The sequence below is a fragment of the Homo sapiens genome, chromosome 1 (genome assembly GCF_000001405.40).
Source record: "Homo sapiens chromosome 1, GRCh38.p14 Primary Assembly".
Classification (NCBI taxonomy): Eukaryota; Metazoa; Chordata; class Mammalia; order Primates; family Hominidae; genus Homo; species Homo sapiens.
In genome coordinates this window covers 213,395,292-213,420,011 of record NC_000001.11, presented here as the reverse complement: position 1 = coordinate 213,420,011, position 24,720 = coordinate 213,395,292, and the positions used below count along the sequence as shown (strand labels likewise).

At 47.8% G+C, this 24,720-nt stretch overlaps 1 protein-coding gene across 2 annotated transcripts in view, besides 3 other annotated features; it reads right to left on the bottom strand.

The window, feature by feature from the left end:
• The window catches only part of RPS6KC1 (ribosomal protein S6 kinase C1), an 811,495-nt gene that overhangs the window by 442,724 nt on the left and 344,051 nt on the right, over positions 1–24,720 (bottom strand). Inside the window, exon 14 of one of the 2 annotated variants that reach the window (XR_007058662.1) lies at positions 19,606–19,849. The exons of the other annotated variant lie outside the window; for it this stretch is intronic. The gene's annotated coding sequence lies outside the window, so the exon portion shown is untranslated. Of the gene's footprint in view, positions 1–19,605; positions 19,850–24,720 lie in introns of those variants that run through there. 2 annotated transcript variants of the gene reach the window in all.
• Positions 10,560–10,760: a silencer, noted in NCBI's record as "peak692 fragment used in MPRA reporter construct". NCBI's record gives its function as "represses an SCP1 promoter by STARR-seq MPRAs in K562 erythroleukemia cells {active_cell/tissue: K562}" and the evidence as "EXISTENCE:reporter gene assay evidence [ECO:0000049][PMID:32103011]".
• Positions 19,709–20,244: an enhancer, noted in NCBI's record as "H3K4me1 hESC enhancer chr1:213573111-213573646 (GRCh37/hg19 assembly coordinates)". NCBI's record gives its function as "activates a minimal SCP1, AML or CMV promoter by ChIP-STARR-seq in naive H9 embryonic stem cells {active_cell/tissue: H9 hESC(naive)}" and the evidence as "EXISTENCE:reporter gene assay evidence [ECO:0000049][PMID:30033119]".
• Positions 20,245–20,781: an enhancer, noted in NCBI's record as "H3K4me1 hESC enhancer chr1:213572574-213573110 (GRCh37/hg19 assembly coordinates)". NCBI's record gives its function as "activates a minimal SCP1, AML or CMV promoter by ChIP-STARR-seq in naive H9 embryonic stem cells {active_cell/tissue: H9 hESC(naive)}" and the evidence as "EXISTENCE:reporter gene assay evidence [ECO:0000049][PMID:30033119]".

Genomic DNA, 24,720 nt, shown 5'->3' with positions numbered 1-24,720 from the left:
TTTTCTCTTCTCCGCATCAACTAAGCTCATGTGTGAATGGAAATGTTTCCGTGCATTAAAGAAAATCAATGAAAATATCTCAAAAACAATTTCAAGCTCCTCTTCCTCCCACAGGGTGGCAAAGCCAGACCCTGCTGTGCTGTGCAGGGGTGCCAAGGACAGCCAAACCCATGTAGGTGGCAGATTTCCACTGGAACAAAGCCACAGACCCTGACACATGCAGCTCACTTCTCTCTCCCAACACAGGACAGCATTCCACAAAGCCAGCCAGCCTAGAAAAATTCTAGCTCTCTTCCTATACCCCTTTTTAGTTTCATTCTTCAGTTCTATTTGTGTATAGTTTTTGCCCCTGACCCCTGAGTAGGGCATCTTTGGTTGCAGTTGAATGTTAGCACTGAGACAGACGGGGGCAGTATGCTGAAGGAAATTGCACAGATATGGAGTCTGTAGATCTAGGTTTGAACATCAGCTCTGCCACTAACTAGTTGTGCCAGTCACTTAACCTCTCTGCCTCTCAGGTTCCTCCTCTTTAAAGTCAGGATAGTTAAATAGATCATGCCTGGTTACTGTGAGTAGAAAATGAGATAATACTAGGTAGGACCCAGCACATAGTAAGTGCTCAATCAATGGCTAATTACCACCATTATTTTTGTCACCAAAAAAAGAGTTGAAGCCCAACAAATTGCTTACTGATCCCAGCTAATGGCAGCCCCTTTGAGAGCAGACAAAACCGGACAATGTGGATAACTTGGATGGGACCTTTTGCTGCTGGCTGAGGGAGAGCACTCTGGAGCACCTCTAGGAGGGGCATCATCAGAGGTGAAGAACAGCACACTTAAGCCACCAGAAGACACATTGAGAGGTTTACTTAACAGCCAAAGTAACTGCACTGAGGCAGTCAGGCCAGGGGGACATAGAGGAAGAAGGATAGGGAGTCACACGTGGCAGATGTCTTGGCTGAGAGAGAAAGTTCCAGAGAATGTGCGTGGGTTGGGGAACTGGGAGCTTGGGCTCAATTCAGAACAACCCAGCTCCCTTCCAGACGGGAAACGCAACACAAGAGCAGCATCCAGAGGGAGCCCCAGGAGACCCCGGTGAGCCGGGCCTGGCAGCCGAGCCACCTGCAGCTGGGGGGAGCTGAGTACACTCTGCCTGGCCTTGGAAGTAAAGCTGTTTCACCTGAGAGGGCTAGAAAACGCTCACCCCGGGGGAGGAAAAAGAAGATGGGATTTCTCCTGGGGTCGGAACAGGACCCGGCCAGCCAGAGACAATGGCTCCAAGAGCCTCAACAACTCCACCCCTGTTGACAAGGGAACTCAACACCCTGGAGATCGGCGTGTGAAATCTGTACTGGGGAAGAGAGTCCTCATTTAGCAGAGAAAGTGCTGTGCTATCTATGTGTGAAAGCTTTTTTAACACTGTTCCCTGCTCTCCATATGGCGAACTTCACCCAAATTAGGAGGAACTGATGAACAAAGCTCCAACGACTTGAAAATGAGAGCAAGTTCCAGGGGCCCATCCCAGAGTCAGCTGCCGCCCAGTGCTCAGGGTGGGTCTAGCAGGCCAGAGCACCCAGACGCCTCTCCTTGCACCCCTGCAACCTCACCCTTGGTCCCCAAATGCTCTCCTCAGGGCGAAGCTGTGTTCCCTCTCAGTGGATCAAGTCACCATCATCAATAATTAAAATACTAAGAATCACTACCCCCATTTAGTGTACAAGCACTGTGTTACACACGACCCTGGGCACCTTGCACATATTATTTCATGCACACACATCAGTTCATCCTCACAAAAACCCTGTGAGTAGGTGTCTTTATGCCTATTTAAGGTTGGCAAAACCCAAGACCCCACAGGAAGATTCAAATGCAGACTGCTCATTCACTCAAGGTCACAATCACGTTTCTCAGCATCACCCTCGTGCTCCAAGAGTAAGGCCAGGAGCGGGAGCTGGGGGTTTGCTCCCATGGAAGCTGGGGGGAATGGGGAGCTCTGTCCTTTCCCCTCAGTCAGAGAGCATGTGGCCGGGACCCCTGACAGTGTCACACCATGGGAATTTGTGGGGGCTACAAAATCAATGACCATCAGGTCTGGAAGGGAATTTAATGACCGGTATCACCTGCCTCATGGAAAAGTTAAGGTTCAGGGAAACAACACTGAGTTGTAAAGTATGTTAATAAAACAGCCAAGACCCAACTCACCTGTGTGTGTTCTATGACAGCATAAAGATGTCCAGAAAAAGAGCAACCTCTCCTGTTCATCCTCTACCCTGACTTCTCCCTAGTCCTGGCTGAATGAGGGAGCCCGCCCGAAAGCAGGCCTACTTTACTTGACCCACCCTGCCCCCAACCTACCTCTCCACTAGTCTCCCCCATCCCCGACCCCATTTGAACGCAGCTGTTTCTGACTGCAGTTCCCACCACCTCCCTTCCCACATTGCCTCCCTCCAGCCGCACCCCGAGCCCCCACTGGCTTTCCCCCAGGGTCTGGGGGCTGCACCTTCCCCATCTCTTTCCTTCCAGCCTCCCTGGCTGAGTATAGCAGGACAAAAGGAAGCTCGATGCAAAGATTTTTAGTATGTTTATCTCGGTTATTGTATTATTTACAGCAACTCCGCGCTGTGCCCGGGGCATTGCGTGGTTTGAAAGACGCTATACAAACTAAAATTGTGTGGCATTGTTTGTTCCTCCACATTCTGTGAGAGAGAACCAATCTAGTAATCACTGTTTTTGCTCCTCAAATCAGGGACGCTCCATTTTGTGTGCATGGTGACTAATCTGGAAATAAAGATTCGTAGCAAATGTATAAGGAGCTCTGGAAGCGGTTGGGGCCCGGCGAATGAAAGAAAGGCAGCGAGGAGGAGGAGGAAAGACCGTGGAGGTGATGTTGATGAGGGCCCGATGGTCCCTCTGAGGAGGGACAGTAGCCCATCCCTGGGGTGGTGGGAAGTGCCACATCACATATCTGTTCCCGGCAGACAGAACAGACCCCGGGGAGCACTTTGCCCCAAAGTGCACAGGGCCAGCTGCAGTCCACCTGCAAACCTCACTGCGGCTAGGTCTTCACCCCAAGGTCAAATTCTCTGGAGCTGGAGCTCACCCTTTCAGAACATAAGCCAGGGGAGGTGAGTGAGGAGGAGAGGAGAGGCTCAAACCATGGCTAGGAATGACCATGTGCAGACCCCAGTCCCTCTTCAAGGGCATGGCAGGAAGAGGGGAGTGGAAGGGTAGTGCCCAGGGTCTCTGGAGCTGGCCAGATGGTTTCTGGCACCATCCTTCTGCTCTCAGGCCCTCGCCCAGCATAGCAGACCCCAGCCTGACTAGCTCATGTTCAGTCCCAGCGGAGGCACGACACCAGGGTCTGGGTGTGGCAGTGGGACTGTGACAGGGGAGGCTTGCATTTGTGAGTTCACTGGAAGCATTTCCTTGGGAAAGGGGTGAATCTGGACTCACAGCCCAGCCCCGGCTTACCACCCCAGTGCCCTCTGATTTTCACGCTACCCTTTCACTCGCCCTCCCACAGCGTGATCCAGCCACACTACTCACAGCCTGCCTTTACTGGCCAAGCCAGGCCTCTTGGTCACTCTCTATCTAGCTTTGCCCTTCAGCCTGCCCAAATCCTATGCATTCTCCAATGTCCAATTCAGAGATCACTTTCTCTGTTACACTTCCATCATCCCCCAAGCCCCATGGCAAGATGACTCAGTCACCATGAAGCCCTAGATCTTCAATTTGTAGGTCTGCAGAGTGCCTACAGTGACCTCTGAAACAGAGGCCTGTGGGTTTGCCCCCATGGGAGCACATTCCTGCAGGACAGAGACGGGCATGCTCTTGTCTTCAGCATTCTTCCCCTCAGCATCCAGCAGAGTGCCGGGTGCATGCGTGGGAGCCTGGGAGATCCCCCGGCACTTTCACACCCACCTCAACACCCTCACCCCGGGTGACACAGGGCCAGGTCTGAAGCAAAGGGGAGGTGGTCATGAGGAATCAGCTCTTGGTACAAGATTTTGCTGACTTCTCCTTTCCAGAGCTTCTCCGTCAATTTCCAGGTTGTGCTGTAAGTTAACAATCCCCAAATAGTTCACATTCTCTCCCTTTGCCAAGTATGAGCATGTCATCTGCCGAGTTAAACTGCAACCAAGTCACACAGCAATTTAACCGGTCTGAAGCATGAGGCCTCATCATCCATTACCATGAGCATTTAGAAGCGAGGTAATTACAGGCTGCATTCCTGAAGCCCGAGGCTCCACAGCTACAATCCTGGAGTTTTTTATAATAATGGTGATAGGGAGGGGTCCCAGGGATTCCATTTCCAGACTGTTCACATTGGCATTAAAGAACCCCGCAGGAAGGGACTGGGGACAGTGCTGCCCCTCTCAAGGTCAACTCTACCCCAGGAGGAAGCCCTGGGCTGAGCTATCCCATCCCTACCGCTTCGCCCTTGAGGGGCTGGAAGTGAAGCTGCCCAAGGGCAGGGATGGTTCCTTCAGTTTCTCTTGTCCCCAATCCCAGTCCTGCCCCACCTCGGATTGTACAGAGAAGCCGACCCCTTTAGCTTGTCACCAAATGACTCAAAGCAGAACCGAGTCCTCTTTGCTCCAAGAATGAGGAGCTGTAGGAAAGAAGAAGACTTACCCTCACCACAACAAAGTTGAAGCCCCAGCACTGGAGAGCTATTATGGAGCTTTCCAGATCCCACTTTCAAAATGCAAATACCCTCTTGAGAAATCCATGTGATCATTGGTAATAATATGATTAAGTTGGTATGAATTGCGATAGCAGCTTCTTTCCACCTCACTGGAACAGTATCAGCCTTAGGAAAAGTGTTTGGCCCCTGGATGAAACATAGGAGTAGACACAGTAAAAAAAGTGGAAGAAATAAATGGCACAGCTTTGCTCATAGTAAACCTTGAGTTAATAATGAGTTAATTGATCACTGGATGACTCGCTGATTAAGCAATGAATGGGTCACTGGATAGAATAGGTCCAATTTTCCACTCTACCTTTTCCAGTGAAGAAGCCAGTGCTAAGCCCTCTGGCCTCCACACCCACCCCAAAGAATCAGCAATCCCAGGGGTCTCATTGGGTAGAGCACCACTGTGTGGGGGAGGCAGGAAGGTCTGGTCCTAAAGCCCCAGGTGAACACGCTGTTCTGAGGTTTTCCAAGTTATGGAAAAGACCACCTCTGCCCCCACCCTGCCCCCCAACTAAAACCCCCTCCTGCTTCCAGTTACCCATCTAAATCATGGCTGGTCTTAGAAGATCTTTCAAAGATTTTATTTTACTCCATTTATCCATCAGTTTCCTAGGGCTCCCATAACAAATGACCTCAAACCAGGTGGCCTGAAACAATGGAAATTTATTCTCTCACAGCTCAGAAGACAAGAAGTATGACATGCAGGTGGTCAGAAGGGGCTGGTCCCTCCTGGAGGCTCTGTGGGACAATATGCCCCGTGCCTCTCTCCTACTTTCTGGTGGCTGTTGGCAATCCTTGGTGCTCCTCAACTAGTAGAGGCATCACCCCAATCTCTGCCTCCTTCTTCACATCACCTCCTGCTCTATGGCTCTCTGTTCTATCTCTTGTGAGGACACTCATGGGATTTAGGGCTTACTCCAACCTAGTATGTTCTCATTTTGATCCTTACCTTAATTATATCTACAAAGACCCTATTTCCTTTCCAAATAAGGTCACATGTGCAGCCGATCTCCAGGTGCACATGAATTTTGAGGGAGGACACTATTCAATCCACTCATCTTCTTAAAGCCAAACAGCAAGAGATGAACTTGGTGCCATCATAACAAGAAGAGTAAATGATGAGGAAAGTTTCTTGGGAGTGAAAGGCGTTGGTAAGGTCCCTCTGACAGAAGCTTTCCAACTCTGCTCAGCTCACCTTCCCCCATCCCCACCTCCAGGCCTGTCAAAATCAGAGTATGAATGGCAGGGGTGAGGGGAGATGGTCATTAGGTCTCACCACATCAGGAAACTGAAAGTGAAGACCCCTGGGTAAGGTCAACCACAGAGGACAGACAGACCTCCTGGCTTTTATCCTCGGAGTCAGCCAGGCCAACATCATTTTTAGCTTCCCCTGTGGTCTCCTAAGTATCTCACTGAGCTATGCCCTGATCCTGCAAATCCATTTCTGGCTGTCTTTGTGAGTCATGCTGTGGTAGACAGCCTCCAAGATGGCCTCAGTGATTCTGGGTTCCTGGTCTTTATGCACTGTGTGGTCTTTTCCACTGATAGAGCTGACCTGTGTAAACAATAGGATAGCACAGAAATGAAGAAGTGTGATTTCTGAAGCTAGATCATAAAAGATACCACCTTCTGCTTTGCACTCTCTTGGTTCATATGCTCTGGGGGAAGTCAGCTGCCATGTTATAAGGATACTCAAGTAGCCCAATGAGGATGTACGCATGGATAGAAACTGAGGGCGCCTGCCAGTAACCAGCACTCACACTTGCCAGCCACATGAGTGAACTATTTTGGTGGTAGATTCTCTAAATCTAGCACAGCCTTCATAAGACTGCAACCCCAGGCAACCATGAGTACAACCACATAAGTGAACTACCCAGCTAAGCCACTCCAACCTCCCAGCTCCTAGAAATTGTGTGAGATAATGTGTTTATTATTGTTTTAAGACACTAAGTTCTAGGGTAGTTGTTGTGCCTCAATAGACAACTAAGGCAACTACAATTAACAATAACTTATTATATATTTCAAGATAACTCAAAAAGTGGAATTGGAATGTTCCTAATACAAGGAAATCATAAATGCTTGAAGTGATGGATACCTCAATTACCCTGATCTGATCATTACATGTATACTTCTATCAAAATATCACATATATCCCATAAATATGTATAACTATGCATCCATTAAAAATTTTCGAAAGTAGATAACTAATACACATACTCCGTCACATCGTCATTCATTCATTCAATGAACATTTACAGAGCAAACAAAATGAGACAGACATTCTTGAGAAAAAATGTTTAACATGTTTAAGATCCTCAAGGATCTTAAAACATAGTTAAGAGGAAAAGATTATAGACCCAAGTCAGTCAAAGAACGTTGACCAAAGCCTGCTGAATTTAAGAATATGGAGAAAGAGCACTGTGGCTGGGGGGAGTGTTTCTCAGCTGTCAACAGAACACAGTGACTTCAGGAGAAAAGACATTTGTGGGAAGGAACATGGGAAGCTCACAGAGGCAATGGGAATAACAGAGAAGCAGCCAACTTGCAGAGCAGGAGGCAGGAGCTGAGGACGCAGCCACTGCATCCCTGGGTATAGTCAGGCCAGTGGCCCCTGGCCACTCCTGTCACCCACTGGACATGCACAGACTCCACTGGATGCTCATTGCTCTCCCCAGATTGAAAGTCCATCAAACTGGCCAAGACTACATCACTTGCCTGTGCATCAATACCAAGAGACAGGCAGGGCACATCTGCCCCCACTACAGCTTCTGAAGGGAAAGCAGGGACCGCTACAAAATGTGTGAATTGCCCCTAAGCAGGAAACATACAGAAATGTCAAGAAGCCACTGCAGAGAGGGAAGGGTCACTTGGGGCATGACGTAAGGTGGTCAGGAACTAGACCATTCTTCTGCTTCCTCAGGCTGGGCCCCCAGCATGCTCAGTTTCCTCATCAAAGAAATGGCACAAAAGTGTCTTCTCCCTCTCTCCTTTTCTACTTCCTTGCCCTAAATGTGAAGCCTTCTTTCTCTAATAGAGAAGGATGGATCTAAGACAGATGGTTTAAACTAGAATTAGTTTCCTCAGATGGAACTTAATAAAGATTTTCCTGATAGATAGGAATGCCACACCATGGCCTGTCAAGTACATAAAACGGGAACTTAGTGGTCTCAGCAGGAATCAATGATGCTGACAATATGATGGGGAGCAGACCAGGTCCACCCTCTGCCCACCCAGGCTTCCAGAGGTGGTTGGTTGTAGCAGCCATTCTGTGCCTGCTATGAAAACAAGTGGGAACATTGGAAGTGAGCAAAAAGACTTCTGAACACCCACAAAATATGCAGGGAGGCCAATATGATACACTGTGCTAATCTGCAGCATAACCAACTCACCAAGCCTCTTGCTGTGGCAGAGGAGGGCTGCCACACTCTCACCCCACGCCCATTGGTGCAGCAGCCAGAAAGGAGCCCTTAGGTCTAATGCAGTCCCTGGCTTCTCTGAAGCACTGCCCCCAGCTGTGCCCAACCTACTCCACCTCTAAGCCCAGGCTGTAGAAATGCACCCATTTTTAATTACCCAGCGCCCCCAGGAACTCCTCTTTGACCACTTCAGCCTGATAGCCCACAGCACTGTCCAGCTGTGTCACCCACTTCAGCAATTAATGACATGTCACCTTGAAGGCTTGCTGCATCATGAGCTAACCCACCCAGCCAAAAAAGACCAATGTCTATCAGCCTGGATGCCCAGGGGTACCCATCTCTCCACTCAGCAATGATGTTGGCCAAGGTCAGAAAGCCTTGAGAATCCCAGTGTCTCCCATCCAATTCAAGCTACAACACCCGCTCCACCCTGGCAAGTCTGAGCTCTACAAAGGCCCAAAGCAGTACTTCTAATGTTCTCTCTGCAACTTTGAGCAAAAGCCCGATGGCCTACTGTATCACAAGAGATGAGGGACATCACCTCCCAAGGGCTTGCAGCAACTCAGAAACAACTTCATGCCACAGCACCTCCCTCTCGGCCAGGTGGGTCTTCACCTCTGCCACACACCTGTGCTCACAGCTGCTTTGTGCTTCTTCCTCATGTGACTTTCCTCAGCCTCTAAAATCTGGAAATCCTTATCATTATATTAAGAAGGCCTTCCGTAAAGACAGGACTAGAGAGTCAAACAACAAGTGAATGAGCAGGGTGGAAAAAGAGATGAGTGGATGGCAGCCATCAGGATGAAGGCTGCGTGCTCTAACCTCCTGTCACCCCTCCTTGCTTATCTTGTGCCTTCCTCTCCATCCTGGTCCTGCCATCATCCTGGGGGACTTCACAGGTGTAAGGACAACCCTTCGTTGCTTCAGCCTCATATCCCTTGACCATCTCCATTCCATCGACTCTGACCCCTTCCAACCCTCATCTCATCTTTTCAACATCTTCAGTCTGAAAAGTCAATCCCCTGCTCTGATCACAGTCTCTTATTCTTTTCCTCAATTTCCCTTTTTTAAAAAAAAAAATCACTGGCACTTTCTGTCCCTGACAAGTTAACTTCTCTCCATTGATCAGCTCCCTTCCGGCTTCACATCCTTCCCTTTCTGAGACCTCACAGTCCACCCCTTCAATCACTTCCTCACCATTCTCTGTGAGGCCTGTGTCCATGACTTAAAGTCTGAACTGGGATCCATCAAACTCCCCTGCTCCTGCAGCCAGGTTGCTGAGGCTGGAGAAACCCACACCATCTTTTGAGCTGGACTCCCCATGAATCTGTGGCCTCCAAATTCAATCCTTCCACCAAGTCCTCCCTCTCCATCCTCTTCAACAACCTTTCTTGATATTTTCTCTCTCCTTAAAACCCCTCCCCTACCACTTTCCCCTCACTGGATCTTAGCCCCAATGCCTTCACAAAGACTTTGGAGGCCCTGGAACAAGCACTCCCTAAGCTTCCTCCCCATCACTGACCTGCCTCCACCTTAGCCTGGCCTTTCTCCTTCCTTCTGCTTCCCTCATCTCATCTGAGGCAGACCCTTCCACCTGGGCTCTGGATCTCACCCCCTCTCATTTCCTCAGGGGCCACATTCCATCCGTCACTTTCCCCCTCTCCTGTCTCTTTGGTCCCTTTCTGCTGCCTCTTTTCCACTGGTATGCATCCTAAACATGCTCAAGTCTCTCCATTGTTTTGTTTTGTTTGAGTCACAGTCTCACTCTGTTGCCCAGCTGGAGTGCAGTGGCATGACCACAGCTCACTGCAGCCTCAAACTCCTGGGCTCAAGCAATCCTTCCACTTTAGCTTCCCAAGTAGCTAAGACTACAGCCACACTTGGCTAGTACTTTTTAATCTTTTTAGAGACGGGGCTCTCACTGTGTTGCCCAGGCTGATCTCCAACTCTTGGCCTTAAGCAATCCTCCTGCCTCAGCCTCCCAAGTGGCTAGGATTACAGGCGTGAGCCACTGCACCCAGCCCAGCAATTATAACACTGTAGTATCATAAACAAATCACCTGTCTGTCTTTCCCTGTTGGCTTATAAGCTCCTTGAAGGTAGGACCCTATATAAATTCAACTTTATATATTTCAACAGTTCCTGGAACATGACAGATCCAGCCCTGTTACACAGAGCATGCACTAAACACATTGGAGCCATTGAGCAGACCGAACAGAAATGGAAAACAGCACCCATTCACAAAGTATTGTCATTCTGCTTTGCACGTGATCCCAAATCTGAACTTTCAGTTCAACTATTTTCTTATTCAGGTCCACATACACTTGGTGTTCCTTTTCTTTCAACCACAAATCAGCTAAGCTGAATACTAAACATACTTTCAGAGCTGCCTGAACCTGCCTCATGTTTTTTTTCTGCCTCTGTGCCTCCCTCACAAACAGTCTCCACACCCCTGTCCTTGTCCCTCTGGCCAAAGATCAGTCTTCATCCAAAACCAACTAAAACAGAGCCTCTGAAAAGGCATACCTGGCCTTCCTCAGTCAGAACCACCTCCCCTTCCTCGCATTCCTTAGCACTTTGCCCCTGGTCTGTCACGGCATCCCCACAACGTATTAGGTTGGTGCAAAAGTAATTGCGGTTTTGGCCATTGAAAGTAATGGCAAAAACCGCAATAACTTTAGCACCAACCTAATACTTTGCACTTGGTTGGTTGCACGGGCTTCTAGAGGACAAGCGTGGGACCTGCCCTGGAAAGGCAGTAATAATCGTGTGGCACCAGGTTGAACGGAAAGCAGTGAATCCACTCCAACGTGCTCTTTACATCATCACTCCTCCGCTTTCCACCTTCTCAAGCAGCTCCAGGAGGCCTCTAAAGAGGCCTTGAAGGACAAGTTCTTCACCTCTTGAGCAGAGGAAGACCTTCCAGTGAAATTACCAGTGCTATGAGGGGATACACCAAAGAACAGGAGAAAAGAGATGCGATAGTTCTCTACCGTTCTGTAAGGACCTGAGAGGGAAAGCCATGTTTTTCCTCCTTTGCCTCTGTAGTATATGGCACAGTGCAGAATATGACTTGCTAGATATCACACTGTGTGCTCCATAAATGTGGTTATTGAACAAGAATAATAATACAATCCTTCCCTAAGAAATTATGAAAATATGTGTGTATATGTGTGCATCTGTGTGTATGGAGAAACAGAGAATGAACTGACTTATGCAATTACAGGCTCCGACAAGTTCAAAATCCATAGGGCAGGTAAGTCTGAAATTTGTAGGTAAGGTCAAGAAGCTGGAAGAGCAGATGATAGTTGGTGCCGCAGTCTTGAGGTAGAATTCCTCCTCCAGGATACCTCAGTTTCGGCTTAAAGTCTTCAACTGATTAGATGAGGTCCATCCAAATTTTCAAGAGTAACCCCCTTTACTTTAGGTGCTAATCACATCTATGAAATACTTTCACAACAATACCTAGATTTGTATTTGATGAAATAACTAGGTACTGCAGCCTAACCAAGTTGATACATAAAACTAACCCCCACACCCTGGAAGATGAGATGATCAATGGAAACATCCAGAAGGATATAGGCACATGCCACCAACCTTGCCCATCAGCAGTGAAGGGGTGCGAGGCCCTGCATCATGGTAAGCTACACAAGAGCACCATTTTTCCTGGCATATGGACCATCTGCTGAGTGTGACTTTAACCTTGAGCTTTCCACTAGCCAAGTCACCCAGCCTGATTGTGGCTAGATTGGGGAAAGACCCCCAAGTTTAAGAGAGAGCCAGGTACATTCTGACATTATAAGGACAGAAGAATGAATGTCCTGGTGTCTCCCTGTGCTTCCAGCAGTAAAAGGTGAGTCCTTGAGGACACTCAGATTAAGATCACTGATGGAGCTTCCATATCTGTAGCTATGGGAATTCATTCAATAAATTTTTATTAAGCATCTATTATGTGTCAGGCTGTACTCTAAGGGCCACGTATACAACCATGAGCAAAACTAAAAAAGTCCTTACCTCATGGAGCTTATATTGTAGCAGGTCAGGTTTCACTCACCTGAAAAACACATGCAATCATATGGACTGTCCAGTCAGAACACATATCTCTTCCATGCAGCCCACAGGACCTTTTACTCATCTAGAAGGGCCAAACTCACATAGACCAACAAAAGGCAAGAAGAGCCCTACTTAGAAAATGAGATGTTCACAAAGAAGACTCCAAAACACTAGAACAAAAATGTATATGAGAGGAGCAATGTTAAATGCACAGTATGTTTGCCATAATCTTAAGTAGTCAAATAATCAAAGGGTGTTTATTAGGCATCTTCAATGTCTCAGAAAAAATAAAGTTCCCACGGTCTGCTTTCATTTTGGATACCTGTCAAAGCCTTGGACAACAACAGGCAAGCTACTTCAGGTAGTGCTAAGCCCCTTCCAAATTGTGGTTGTGGATGTCAGGGATGATTTCCGCTCACTCTCAGTCCCTTCTTCTCCCTCCTTTAGTCCTTCACTTTCACTTTTATGCAGAAGGGAATGAGCAAAATCTAGGGCCCCTTTAATCCATTCCATAGGGGTATAGGGGCTTCCCAAGTAATTTACTCCAAAGAATCATGCCGCCCTTTGTGCCCTCTCTCGCTTGTGCACTCTCTCTCTCTCTGCGTGTGTGTGTGTGTGTGTGTGTGTGTGTGCGCGCGTGCATGTAATATTACACATACACTCTATATCCCAGAAGTCCCAAATCCAGTGAGAAACCCAGATGCAGTCCTGGAATTCAACCACTGGCACTTGGTAGAGTGAGTCCACCTGTAGGATGTCAGGCCTCCGGGTAGGACCTTGGGGGCTGGGGCCCAGGCTCCTTTCTCCCACACCTGGGCCAGCAAAGGCACCTCAGCACCAGGACTCCCTCACCCTCTGAGATGCTCCAGCCAGGCCTTGCAAGTGAATGAACTGGGTAAAAGTCCCAGCCCTATGTGACTTTGGGAAGTTAAGGTCAAGCCTCAGCGCTCTCATTTGTAAAATGACGATAATCATGCCCTCTCAGGATCAGCCGAGGACTCAGTGTAACAATGTGGCACGATACTCAGCCCAATGCAAAGGGCCATAGCAAGGACTCCATCAGTAGGGCTGCCTCATCATCATTCCTAAGTCATCCCCATCACAATAGCTTAGTGCTGTGTTAAAGGGCTGTCAGGTATTTGAGGGGTAGAGAGTGAAGGGGTTGCTGTTGCTGGCTGTTTGTTTTTATATGACCCCTTCAACACTTGCAATCCATTAGAAGAGTTGTGATTAAGCAGATAAGTCAGGGAAGTGATTAATCCAACAGTGCCCTCTCTTCTAGGGGTGATAAAACAAGGAGCTCTTTACACACGAGCAGCTCCACCTCTCCAGGGGCCTCCCATCCCACCTTTCCTCTGACCTCCAGGGAAAGTCTGGTGGCCATGCCATTAGTTCATGTGGCTAGTCACATGTTCATTGATCCTCCCAGTTCTATAAAGTATCTGACCACAATCTGAAAGAAAGGAAAGGAAAATCTAAAAACTCTAAAAAAAAAGGAAAGGAAAAAAATGCAACTGAAAAATAAACTGAGCAAATAGCCCTTTATCTGCTACCATCATCAAACTTCCAGTCCAGCTTTTAGGCCCATGCCCATGAGAGAGCATCTCAGGGTCGCATCCCTCCTGCAGCCTGCTCACCAGACTCCTAAACATTCCAGGTGGGTCACATACACTCCGACCCCACAGTGGAGCCAGTGGAAATTCACCAGCCCCATTCCTGCTCACTCCGGGTCACTGGCCCCTCCATCTGCGTCAGCTTTTCTGACTGGGCAGCTCCTGTTTTCCAGGCAGTGTGCTGCAACCCCAGAGGGCAGACACCTCGGGACTCACCCTGTGGTCTCACTTTCCAGCATCGGGCCCCCTGGATGCTCTCCAGCCCCAGCAGGTGAGGAGTGACCCTTGACTCCTCCCTTAGCCGGGTCGGAGGAGGCTTCACCGCCATGGCCCCACACTGCCCATTTCTTCCACATCCTTTGCCCCTCTCAGAGTCCTCCTATACTCCCACCTACTTATGGCATGCCACTGGTTCATGTGTCTGTCATTCTGTCTGGATACACGCTCTTATACAAGAGGAAAGATGGGCAGAAAGAGCCCAGACTTTCACTGAAAAAGACCCCACAAGTCTCCCGAACCTCAGTCCTGGCCATTCTTGTCAAACATTCATCCGAGAGAACCAGATTGCTGCTGCTACTGCTGCTGCTGAAATTAATGGAATCTGGCAGGAAAAGCTTTTGTTTTTCCAATCCAGGATTTTGCCAAGCAAACACAGGGATCTTGTTGAAAATGGCTGCTGTTGAGGAGTCGATTTCAGTGCAATATGGAAGCTCCCACCACACCACCCTAACCCATGCACACCACATACACAGGCACTGACTCCTGTCCTCAGAGATGCTGGTGAATTTTTTTTTCATGCAAATAAAATGTTAAACAGGAACCTTTCAGGATCCCTGCCATGGACAATAAGCAAGTGCCAATTCCCCTTCTCTCCAATGGCAGCGGCTCCAACCCGACATTTTGTGACTTGGAGTTGCTGATTACAGGTTCAGCGGATTCGAGCCAGGGAACCTGGAGAAAATCCTGTTGCCTTGAAGGATTTCTATCCTCCGTATCCCAATGCCTATCAACCGGGCCTGAGGTTCTAGTGCCCAAATGGGTAGCCCTACTGGCACTAAAAGGATAGATAGACATGGATTGCATCAAAAGTGCACTCTGATTTCCCAGGTGAAGAAAGAATCCCTTTTCCACATGCCTTGAATAGGTCAAAACTGCCATGGTCTCCTCCCCCTCACTTTTCCACCTGGTTTCATCCCACAGATAGAGCCGAAAGAGGGATTGGGTTACGCCGCAGAATTGAAAGGTGGCGTTTGTGCCTCCACCTCACTCCACCACAATCTGTCCCCACCCCATTGTTTTAGGAGATCTGCAGAGTCACCCCTATGGAGGTTTTTGTTGAAACAGAAACTCTGCATGGCTTAAAAGGAACTGAATTAAGTAGGAGTGTGAACTGAACACAGCATTTGTTTTCCATTAGTATCATTTGAGAAGAAAGAAAGAAGCCAGTGAAGGGGAAATGGGAGGCCGTGGGTGCCATCTTTGGCAACAGTCAGTTCACAGGTAGCTTTGGAAATGTGGCTTTACCTTTAAATCCCTTGAAATAATCCCAGTCCTCACTGATCTCTAGGTACAGCCACAAAAGTGAATAGTCAATTAAACATTGCTTCACCCGCCACCTGGTGTGGCAGGTCATGGCATCCCAATGAGACAGAAAGAGCCTCCTAGGAGGAGACAGTGTCTTGAATGTCCCATTGGTCCTCACGTAGCATGGATTCACTAAATGTTTGTGGAAGGAAGAAAGAAAAGAAGGGAGGGGAGGAGGAATGTAAGAATGAAAAAGATAAAAAATATTTGGTGATTTGTCAAATGAAAATAGTGGTAATTATCTCTCACTGAACACAGATAAGGAGAATCCTGTAGCATCCACACTGTTGGAGCTCCCCGCTAGGTCCCCTCTACCTGGCCAGTGCTCCCATCCCCCAGCTGCTGTGAATATTGGCCCACAGCTGCCTCCTTGCTCAAAGAACTTCCTTCAACAGAACAGCAGCCACCTCAACCCCAGTGTAAACCCCCGCCGAAGGCAGCCCACGGCCAATACCTGACTGACATGAAGGTGGAAAGGCAGCCCCCTTGCCTCAAGGTGGGCCCCACTCACTGGTGTTATCTACGCACAGGAGCTCCCTGTGGCCCAGGCTGAGGCAGGTCTCCAGCTGAGATCATCCCAGCCCCCGCGACTATCCACATCCTCGCTTAGGGCCTTCTCAGCTCTACCCAGCCTCCCTCATCTGCCTTCTCCTAGGACAGCCTCCAATTAGCCAGGTGTACCCCAATCCCTATGGCAAGCTCTGCCTCACGAGAACCCAAACTAAGACACAGAGATCCAGTTAGGAAAGAGCAGAAGGGAGCTCCCTCCTCCAGTTCAGTTTTCTCATGATAGGAATGGCAGGCCTCACCCATACATGGATTATTTCTAAATTAATTAATTTTGGGTGTGATGGTGTGTGTCAGAATGATAGAACTACCCCTTTTCCCCCAGATAAGTGTTTATGCATCTATAAAAATGAACTGGCACCTCCATCTTGATTGACATATTTGGTGGAACCAACTAGCTCACATACTATTAAGAAACGGGAGGAGCACGTGAACATGGGTGAGCTAGGAGAAACCCTCAATGAGTGTTCATGCTATGGGGAGCTGCACCTATTTCATCAAGGCTGCAAATAGGAAACAGATGGCACACTCAAATCAGTCTAATTTGATGAAGGTCTAATATAGGAACCATTTTTTAAAGACGTGGGCAAGGTAAAGGGAAGTCACAAGGCATTGGTATCATAGCCAAGGCTCGTAACAGAGGAGCTGTTACTATCCTCGGCCTAAAGGGATGAAGGCAGAGGGAGTAGCCACAAGAAAAAAAGAGAGTCCTCGACACAGCCTGAGGGCACCCCTCGGGGAGAGAGCCAGGAAAAGTACCCAGATCTCACCCACTTTCTTCCCTCTGTCTCCCAGCAGGACTCCCCAGTGAGAAGCCAGAAGGCCCAAAAAGTCTCCTGAGCTGAGAGGAGAGTTGAAAAGCGTGGCAAGTGGATGGAGAGGAACAAACACAAGATAGCCAGCTTCTTGAATGTTTTATATTTTTAAAATATTTTTAATTAAAAAGTGTATTTTTTTTTGAGACGGAGTCTTGCTCTGTCGCCCAGGCTGGAGTGCAGTGGTGCAATCTTGGCTCACTGCAAGCTCTGCCTCTCGGGTTCACGCCATTCTCCTGCCTCAGCCTCCCTCGTAGCTGGGACTACAGGCACCTGCCACCATGCCTGGCTAATTTTTTTTTTTTTTTTTTTTGTATTTTTAGTAGAGACAGGGTTTCATTGTGTTAGCCAGGATGGTCTCTGTCTCCTGACCTTGTGATCTGCCCGCCTCGGCCTCCCCCACCCAAAAAAAGTATATTTTTTAATTACCCCGTGATGTGTTCTCAAATTCAGAATGATCTCAAGTGCATTCTATTATTTTCCAACATGTCAATATTCAACTCTTCAGACACCTGTAGATCTCCTTATGAGTTTATTGGAAAGAACCCATTGAATCAATCCATTCTCAGGCACATACCTGTTCATTCAACATCATACGTATTTGCCATACACCAGAGCAAGAGCTGGGGATATAAAAATGAACAAGACAGATACATCTCTTAACTCCATGGAACTTAGAGCTTTCCTTCTCCTGTTCTACCTGGAACCTCCCTACCTGTGAAAAGTTAGATCTCAGTTCTCCTCATTATTCCCAGAGTCATTTTAGGACCCTCAATATCATCAGGATTCAATGGGATGTTGGAATCTGTGTGCAACAGGTAAGTTATGGGTGCTAGACAAAGCCTAATGCGGAAGCCTGTGCCATCTGAAGAGGTTGAGGAGGGGGTGTGTGAGTATTTCCTGGGACTTAGAGGTACCACGGCCACTAAGTGGCCAAAGGCAGTGTCAGCTCCTGCACCACCAGCTGGCGGCATCTGGGAGGCCTGGTCACCTGGGTCCTTGTCTTCCTCCCTTACTAGACTGTCAGCACATTGAGGCTGCCTGGCACCATGTTTGCTAAAAGAATAAGTGAGTGGCTCAAGGCCCAGTCCTGTCATAAGATCTGAAGAGCCATGTCTGTGACACCACTCCTGGCTCCTTGGGAGGAATTTGATAAACACTCATTCAATTATACTAACCTGAATTTTTTAAAAATACACTCAGGCCAGGTGTGGTGGCCTACACCTGAAATCCCAGCACTTTGGGAGGCTGAAGCCAGAATTCCAGACCAGCCTGAGCTAGTATAGTGAGATCTCATCTTTACAAAATAATTTAAAAATCAGCCAAGCATGGTGGCACACACCTGTAATCCCAGCTACTCGGGAGGCTGAGGTTGGAGAATCACTTGAGCCCAGGAGATAGAGGCTGCAATGAATTATGAGCACACCACTGCACTCCAGCCTGGGTGGCAGAGTGAGACCCTGTCTCAAAATAAATAAATAAATAAAGTAAGTAAAAATAAAAATAAAAAATACACTCAAGAAACAAATATACACAAAAAGAGCTCTGATACAAAGGTAAGAGCTCAGGGATGCCATCGCAGCTGTAAAGCAAAGTTGAAGGCCCAAGGAAGGAGGTGGTAGAACAGGCTGGGCCCACTCTGGAGAGAGTTCCGGTGGGGATGGGAGACATTTCATTTATTAGTAAGTTAATAGTGTGATGGGGCACATGACATCTCCTCCCACATTTCCATCTTCAGGTTCCGTGAAAATTCAGGTTGCAGGAGAACATAGACAGCACACTCCACCGGCCAGGGGGCCCACCATAGTGACCACAACTCCAAACAACTCAGCCCCAACAGTATTGTGAAAACATCTGGGTGTCAGTGGAAAGAGCCCTGGTCATTGTGGCAGACAGACCTGGCTTTTAATTCTGGCTCAGCCACTTGGCTGTCATTGATCTTGAGCAAACCCCCTTAGCCCCTCTCTATCTCAGCCTTCAGATCTCAAAAGACAGGTCTGATGCCTTCCTTGCAGGCTGTTTGAGTAATTCATAAAATAATCCATGTCAACGTACCCAGCACGTGCCTTCTGTGTAGTGGATGCTCAATAAATACCCACCTAAGCAGAGGAAAACCAAAAAAGATAGCCAAGAAGGAAGTCTGAAAAACTCTCATGGTTCCAAGGCTCTAAGCATGGCCCTGGACCCAACCCTCAGCCCACTCCCCATCTCAGGCTGTCTGTTAAGTTGTTATTTTGATTTGTTCATTAAGATAAGAACAAAAGGGGACGAGCACGGTGGCTCACACCTGTAATCCCAGCACTTTGGGAGGCCAAGGCGGGTAGATCACTTGAGGTCAGGAGTTCGAGACCAGCCTGGCCAACTTGGTGAAACCCCATCTCTACTAAAAATACAAAAGTTAGCCAGGCACGGTGGTGTGTGCCTATAATCCCAGCTACTCAGGAGGCCGAGGCAGGAGAATGGCGTGAACCTGGAAGGCGGAGCTTGCAGTGAGCCGAGATCGCGCCACTGCACTCCAGCCTGGGTGACAGAGCGAGACTCTGTCTCAAAAAAAAAAAAAGAGAGAAAGAAAAAAGGCAGGCAAGATAGATGTTTCCAACAATGTAAATATAGAACAACAGGGAACTTGGTGTCAGGACACCTGGGTTCCAGTCCCAAAGCTGCTGCTAATTAGTAGGACCTTGCGCAAGTCACCTGACCTCTCTGGGCTTCAGTTTCCTCATCTCTGGAAGGGGCAGGGACAGGGGTGTCTGGCAGGGAAGAGAACTAGGGAAACAGATTAAGCTGGATGATCCACAGATCTTCCAGACCAAAAATTGTACATTGCTATAGCATCAATGAATAAATGGATGGGAAAACATTTGTTCATTCAGTCATTCCTTTGAATTAATCAATAAATATATATAACTACAAATTGATTTCAAGTTCAAGAGAAAAGTTACAATTTTCATTTCACTACCACCTGTTCTCTTATGGTCGAGCTCAATAAATGTGGTTTCGTGGCTGGGTAGTTTCTCTTCGGTAGCTCTTCAACCCCCAGGCAATTTCTTTCCTGCTCTCCCTTCCTTCCTTCCTGGGATCTACCTCCATGTCACCTGAGCAGTCAGTTCTGAGGAGGAACAAGGAGACAAGATTAAAATAAAAATAAAATAAAATAAATCGCACAAGACCCGAGGGTTCTGGTTATGCAGCCCCGCCCACCTCTTTTTTCTATGAATTTCTCAGCTGAGCCTGCTGATCTTTCAAGTGATTCGGCGCCCAGCCCTCCTCGGCCATGCCTGTAATTGGAAGAACACAATGCCCATGCCTGAAGCAGAATCTCTTCGCTAAAAATACCCTGCATTCCTGAGTGACAACAAAAGCTCTCTTGTCAAGCCAAGCTAAAAACAGTAACCGGCAGCTTCAAATGGCACAGGCTACAAAGGTAGAGGGCCTGAAAACAGCATGCCACTCCAAGCCATCTGCCATCTTGGCCCGCCCCAGCTCCCTTCTTCCCACAGCGATGGACATCTTAGTGCCTGCCATTCATCGCCGGGCTTCTACAGCAGTGGGCACCAGGCAGTTAGCTCAGCTCCTGGGACTGAAAGAGCAGGATGGTCTGGTGCGGGGGAGGAGAGGGTGGGCGGCTTCATGCACCCATTGGCCCGTGTGCTGTCAGTTCGAGGTCTGGATATCTTTTAAGAAGAAGCTCTCAGTGTAGCTAGGGAAAGCCATACTGCCCTCAAGCAGAGAAGTCAGGGAGTTTAAGCAGTTTTGGAGTCAACATTCACCTCCTTAAGTAAAGCAAGAATCCATCCGTGGTAGGTAAGGAAAGACTGCTGGACTCACTCAAGGCACAACAGCCAAGGCTCACATCTTTCTGGAAGAGGCCAAGGATCTACTCAACTCTACACTTGTCTGCTAGCTCAGTCTTACAAGTCATCTCCTCCAGAAAGCTGCTCCAGTCCACTCCCTCCCAGGACTGAGTTGCATCCTGCCTGTGTGGACCAATGGCTTTATTACACGTATTGTAATTGCCTTCTTACTTGTTTCCCTGCTAAGTAGAACTCCTGGAAGGCAGGGACTATATCTTGCTCAACATTGCTGCATAGGGCATAACCAGGGCTTCATGCATAGTCTGTACTCAGTAATATTTCTTGGATGAATGAAGAATTAAGTGAAGCCTTTCCCTTGATAATGCCTCTATAATTTTGTAGCTAAACAGTCCTGTTAACTTAAATCTATATGTTTTGTCTATGTCTTGGGATTAGAATCTCCTTGAGGACAGGCACTTGTCTTTTATTTAATGTATAGCCATATATAACCCTTAGGGCCCAAGGTTGTTTGTTGAGATTTCATGCATTGATTTGCAAGCCATCCTATAGACTCTAAATGGACATTTATTCAGTGTAGAGGCAGAATATTATGGGGATGACTTTTATGTAACTCTAAGTCTAATGTCTCAAAGAACTGAGGAGGATTATATACACAGAGAGATTAGGAAAAATAAGTGAGGAAATTAAAGAAAATATAGGTGAAAAAAATAGGATAAAGCCAAGGGTGAATTATAAATAAAATGATGCCTAATAGGTGCATTTTAAGACATGCACTGCAATTTGGTTCTGAGCTTCCAAGGAAAAAGAGAAAACATGAATAATTACACAAATTGCAATGTCAAAAGTAAAATAAATAAATAAAGGAAGTCCTTTGAGTCCAGCATGGCAAACATGCATCTGGGGTCACAACCTAGGTGAAAAGGAAGTGTGACAGGCTCAGCAAAACCCATTCCCGTGAATGAAAACACAGGCCAAAGAGCCTGTCCTCACCACCATGAGATAGATAGGTGGTGCCATATTTCTGTTTGAAGCATGGCAGGTTACTATAAAAAATGTTCAGTCACCCACTGACCTGAAAAGAGGGTCCAAAATGAAAGTCAAAGCTGATGAGGCCAGGCACGGTGGCTCACACCTGTAATCCTAGCACTTTGGGAGGCCGAAGGCAGGCAGATTGCCTGACATCAGGAGTTCAAGACCAGCCTGGGCAAAATGGTGAAACCCTGTCTCTACTAAAAATACAAAAAAAAAAAAAAAAAAAAAGGCCAGGTGTGGTGGTGAGTGCCTGTAGTCCCAGCTACTCAGGAGGCTGAGGCAGAAGAATCGCTTGAACCCAGGAGGTGGAGGTTTCAGTGAGCCGAGATCGCACCACTGCACTCCAGCCTGGGTGACAGAGCAAGACTCCATCTCAAAAAAGAAAGAAAAAAAGACGGTCAAAGCTGATTAAAGTTTCTCTGCACCCCTGTCAATTTTGTCATTGTGTTCCAACCATGTGTCCCCTTCAGCCTAGCACTGCCCAGGCCCTTCTGTCTCCACGGCCTGAGCAGATTCACTCCAGCGGCAAACAGAGGAAGCTTTGTTGGGATCGGAATAGCCTGGTATGAAAGGCTTCCCAGAGTGTACGTTCCAAACGGTGTCCTCTCCTGCCCCTAACCTGACCCCATTGGCTCTAATTACCCATGAGTAGCTCTCCTGCCTAGCTCTTTGAAGCTTGAGTCCATTTGCTTTTAAAATGTCTTTTGGGTTTCTTCTCTACCATTTTGCCTTGACCTCCAGCATTTCAGATCATCTGCTAGCCTTCCGGGATTCTGATTGCCCTAACTCAAAGTGTCTGTGTGTGTGTGTGTGTGTGTGTGTGTGTGTGTGTGTGTATGTGTTCCTGACTCTTGAGCTAGCCTCAGCACCCCTCACACCCCAGATTCCCCATCCTTTCAGGACCACCCTTGGTGCTGACAGATCCTTCTTCTTGGTGGAATGCAAGCTACTGGCAAATTGGAACCAACACTTTCTTCTACAGGCTGAAAACAGTGCAAAAAAAATTTTAACTAGGAATGAACAATTTCTTTAACCCTAAGAACCACTGGGGGCTGAGTGGTGCCAAGAGAGTCCTTTGAAGGTTTGTGGGGAGAAGAATTTTTTTAAAAAAGAAAGCAGAATGGGACAAAACATAAGAAAAGCAGGAGAAAGGAGAAGAAAGAGTAAGGGTAGTCTTCTGCCAAACGCTAACTGATGTCAGAGTTGGGTCGCCTGAGCAATGGGCTTCCACGTGCTTATATGCAGTAGAATGAGCCACGATGTGGGACGGGGGAACCTGCTGTACCATAAGAATTCTCAACCATTTAGTAGCATCAATATCTTATTCGATGTGTTGGGCACTTTTAGTAGATCTTTCCCAAAAGATGTAGATAGATTTTACACATGGATTTTCTTTAAAGGACTTATGTTTTGAGAATTTAGAAAGGGCTTTATGGAAGCCTCTACAAAGAGAGGAAGGAGACCCTGGCAAGACCCATGAGCTCACCCAACACCCTGGCCATCGTGGAGCCTGTGCCTACGTTGGCCATGGCATGGATGCACACCTCCATCACAGCAGGTAAACACTACTTTATAACTGAGGCCCCACCCCACTATCAGCTGAGACCCTGAGGGATGTCTGTGCCTTATTCCTCTTGCTTCCCAGCGATGAGCACAGTGCCAGGTGCAGGAGCGCCACAAACGCGTATGGAACAAACAAAAGGAGGTCCACACAGCAACCCCTTCCCTAACACTGCTGCACAGAGGAGAGCATGTACAGACAAGGAAGGGGCTCAAGGGGCAGCAGCCTCTCTGGAACTCTCGAGGTAACAGGCTCCACCACACAAAAGAAGGTAGTGAACCCAAAGCTTTCAAAGCTGCCCCCTGACACTAGTACAGGGAAGGGCAAGGAGGGGAGGCCGTCCACACGTGTTCGGTGGTCCAGCCTCAGCCCAGAGATGGGTCCTCAGTCAGAGTATGTGGACACCCAAAATGTGCCACACCCTGTGCCAGGCATGAAGAAGAAAGAAATGGAAGATGCAGTCTCTGGTCTTAGGGACACTGAAGCCTAGAGAGGGAGAGACTGGGCAGGTGGCAGTAGTAGCAGCCACCCTTCACGGAGCCCTCACTGACTCCAGACACCACCATGCCCACATTCTGGCATCATTATCTCATTTAATCCTCGCAACATCACTAAAGGGTAGATTGCATCTCCCCTTGACGGCACTAGGGAACAGAGGCCCAGAGAGGTGATAAACTTCCTAGATATCAGTGATGCAACCAACATTCAAAACTGCCTTTCTCAGGCTGAAGAGTCCAAGATCTAAGCCTCCAACTCACTGCATGGTCTTTCTCCATGCTATTCCCATCCCTCCCCTAAGCCTGACTCTTCGGATTTCACCTTCAAGCCTTTGCCAATGCCATTTCTCTCCTCTTAAACATCTACCTGCCCTCTATCGAATCCCGAATCCTTTCACATCTGAAATGCCAGCCCAGACTCCGTTCGGAGCCTTCCTTTTATGGAATACCATCCAATGTAAATGGATTCTTCGCACTGCCTTGTGCTGCCTTGTAACTACTCTGAAATGTTTGAGTGTTGGTTGTCACTGCTATTTACCATGTGTTTTCCTGCAGCCCGCCCACAAACCTGGTCTGCGAGCTCCCTGTGAACAAGTGTCTTTTCCAGGGCTTTTCTGGATCCAGCTCAGGCTCGTGCCAATTATTAAATCTTTAGAAAGTTTGTAAGCCAGGTATTAAACCATTAGTAGCTTGAAATCAGACATGGTGAGAGAGTATTTACACTACAGAAATTGGCAATGGCTACAAACTGGGGCCTTTTTCCCCCTGGGATGCTGGTTGTTAGACAGTTAGCAGAAAATCACTGCTTTTAACTCTTGCTCCCAGCTCACTGCCTGCCCAGTTTCTTATACCATAAAAAGTGTTAAGCCTTGAGTGTCAGCATGCAATGAAGCAGATGGACAAGGGGCACTGTCAGAGGTGTCAAGTGACTAGTGAGTAGGGGAGAGTAGCAGCAGTCCAGGAAGGTTTCCTGAAGAAATGCAATATTGAATTCATAATTAATCTTCCCCACTGACCCTTCACCCAACACTCTTTGAGATCCTACCGTGCGCCAGACTCTTTACAAACATGATCA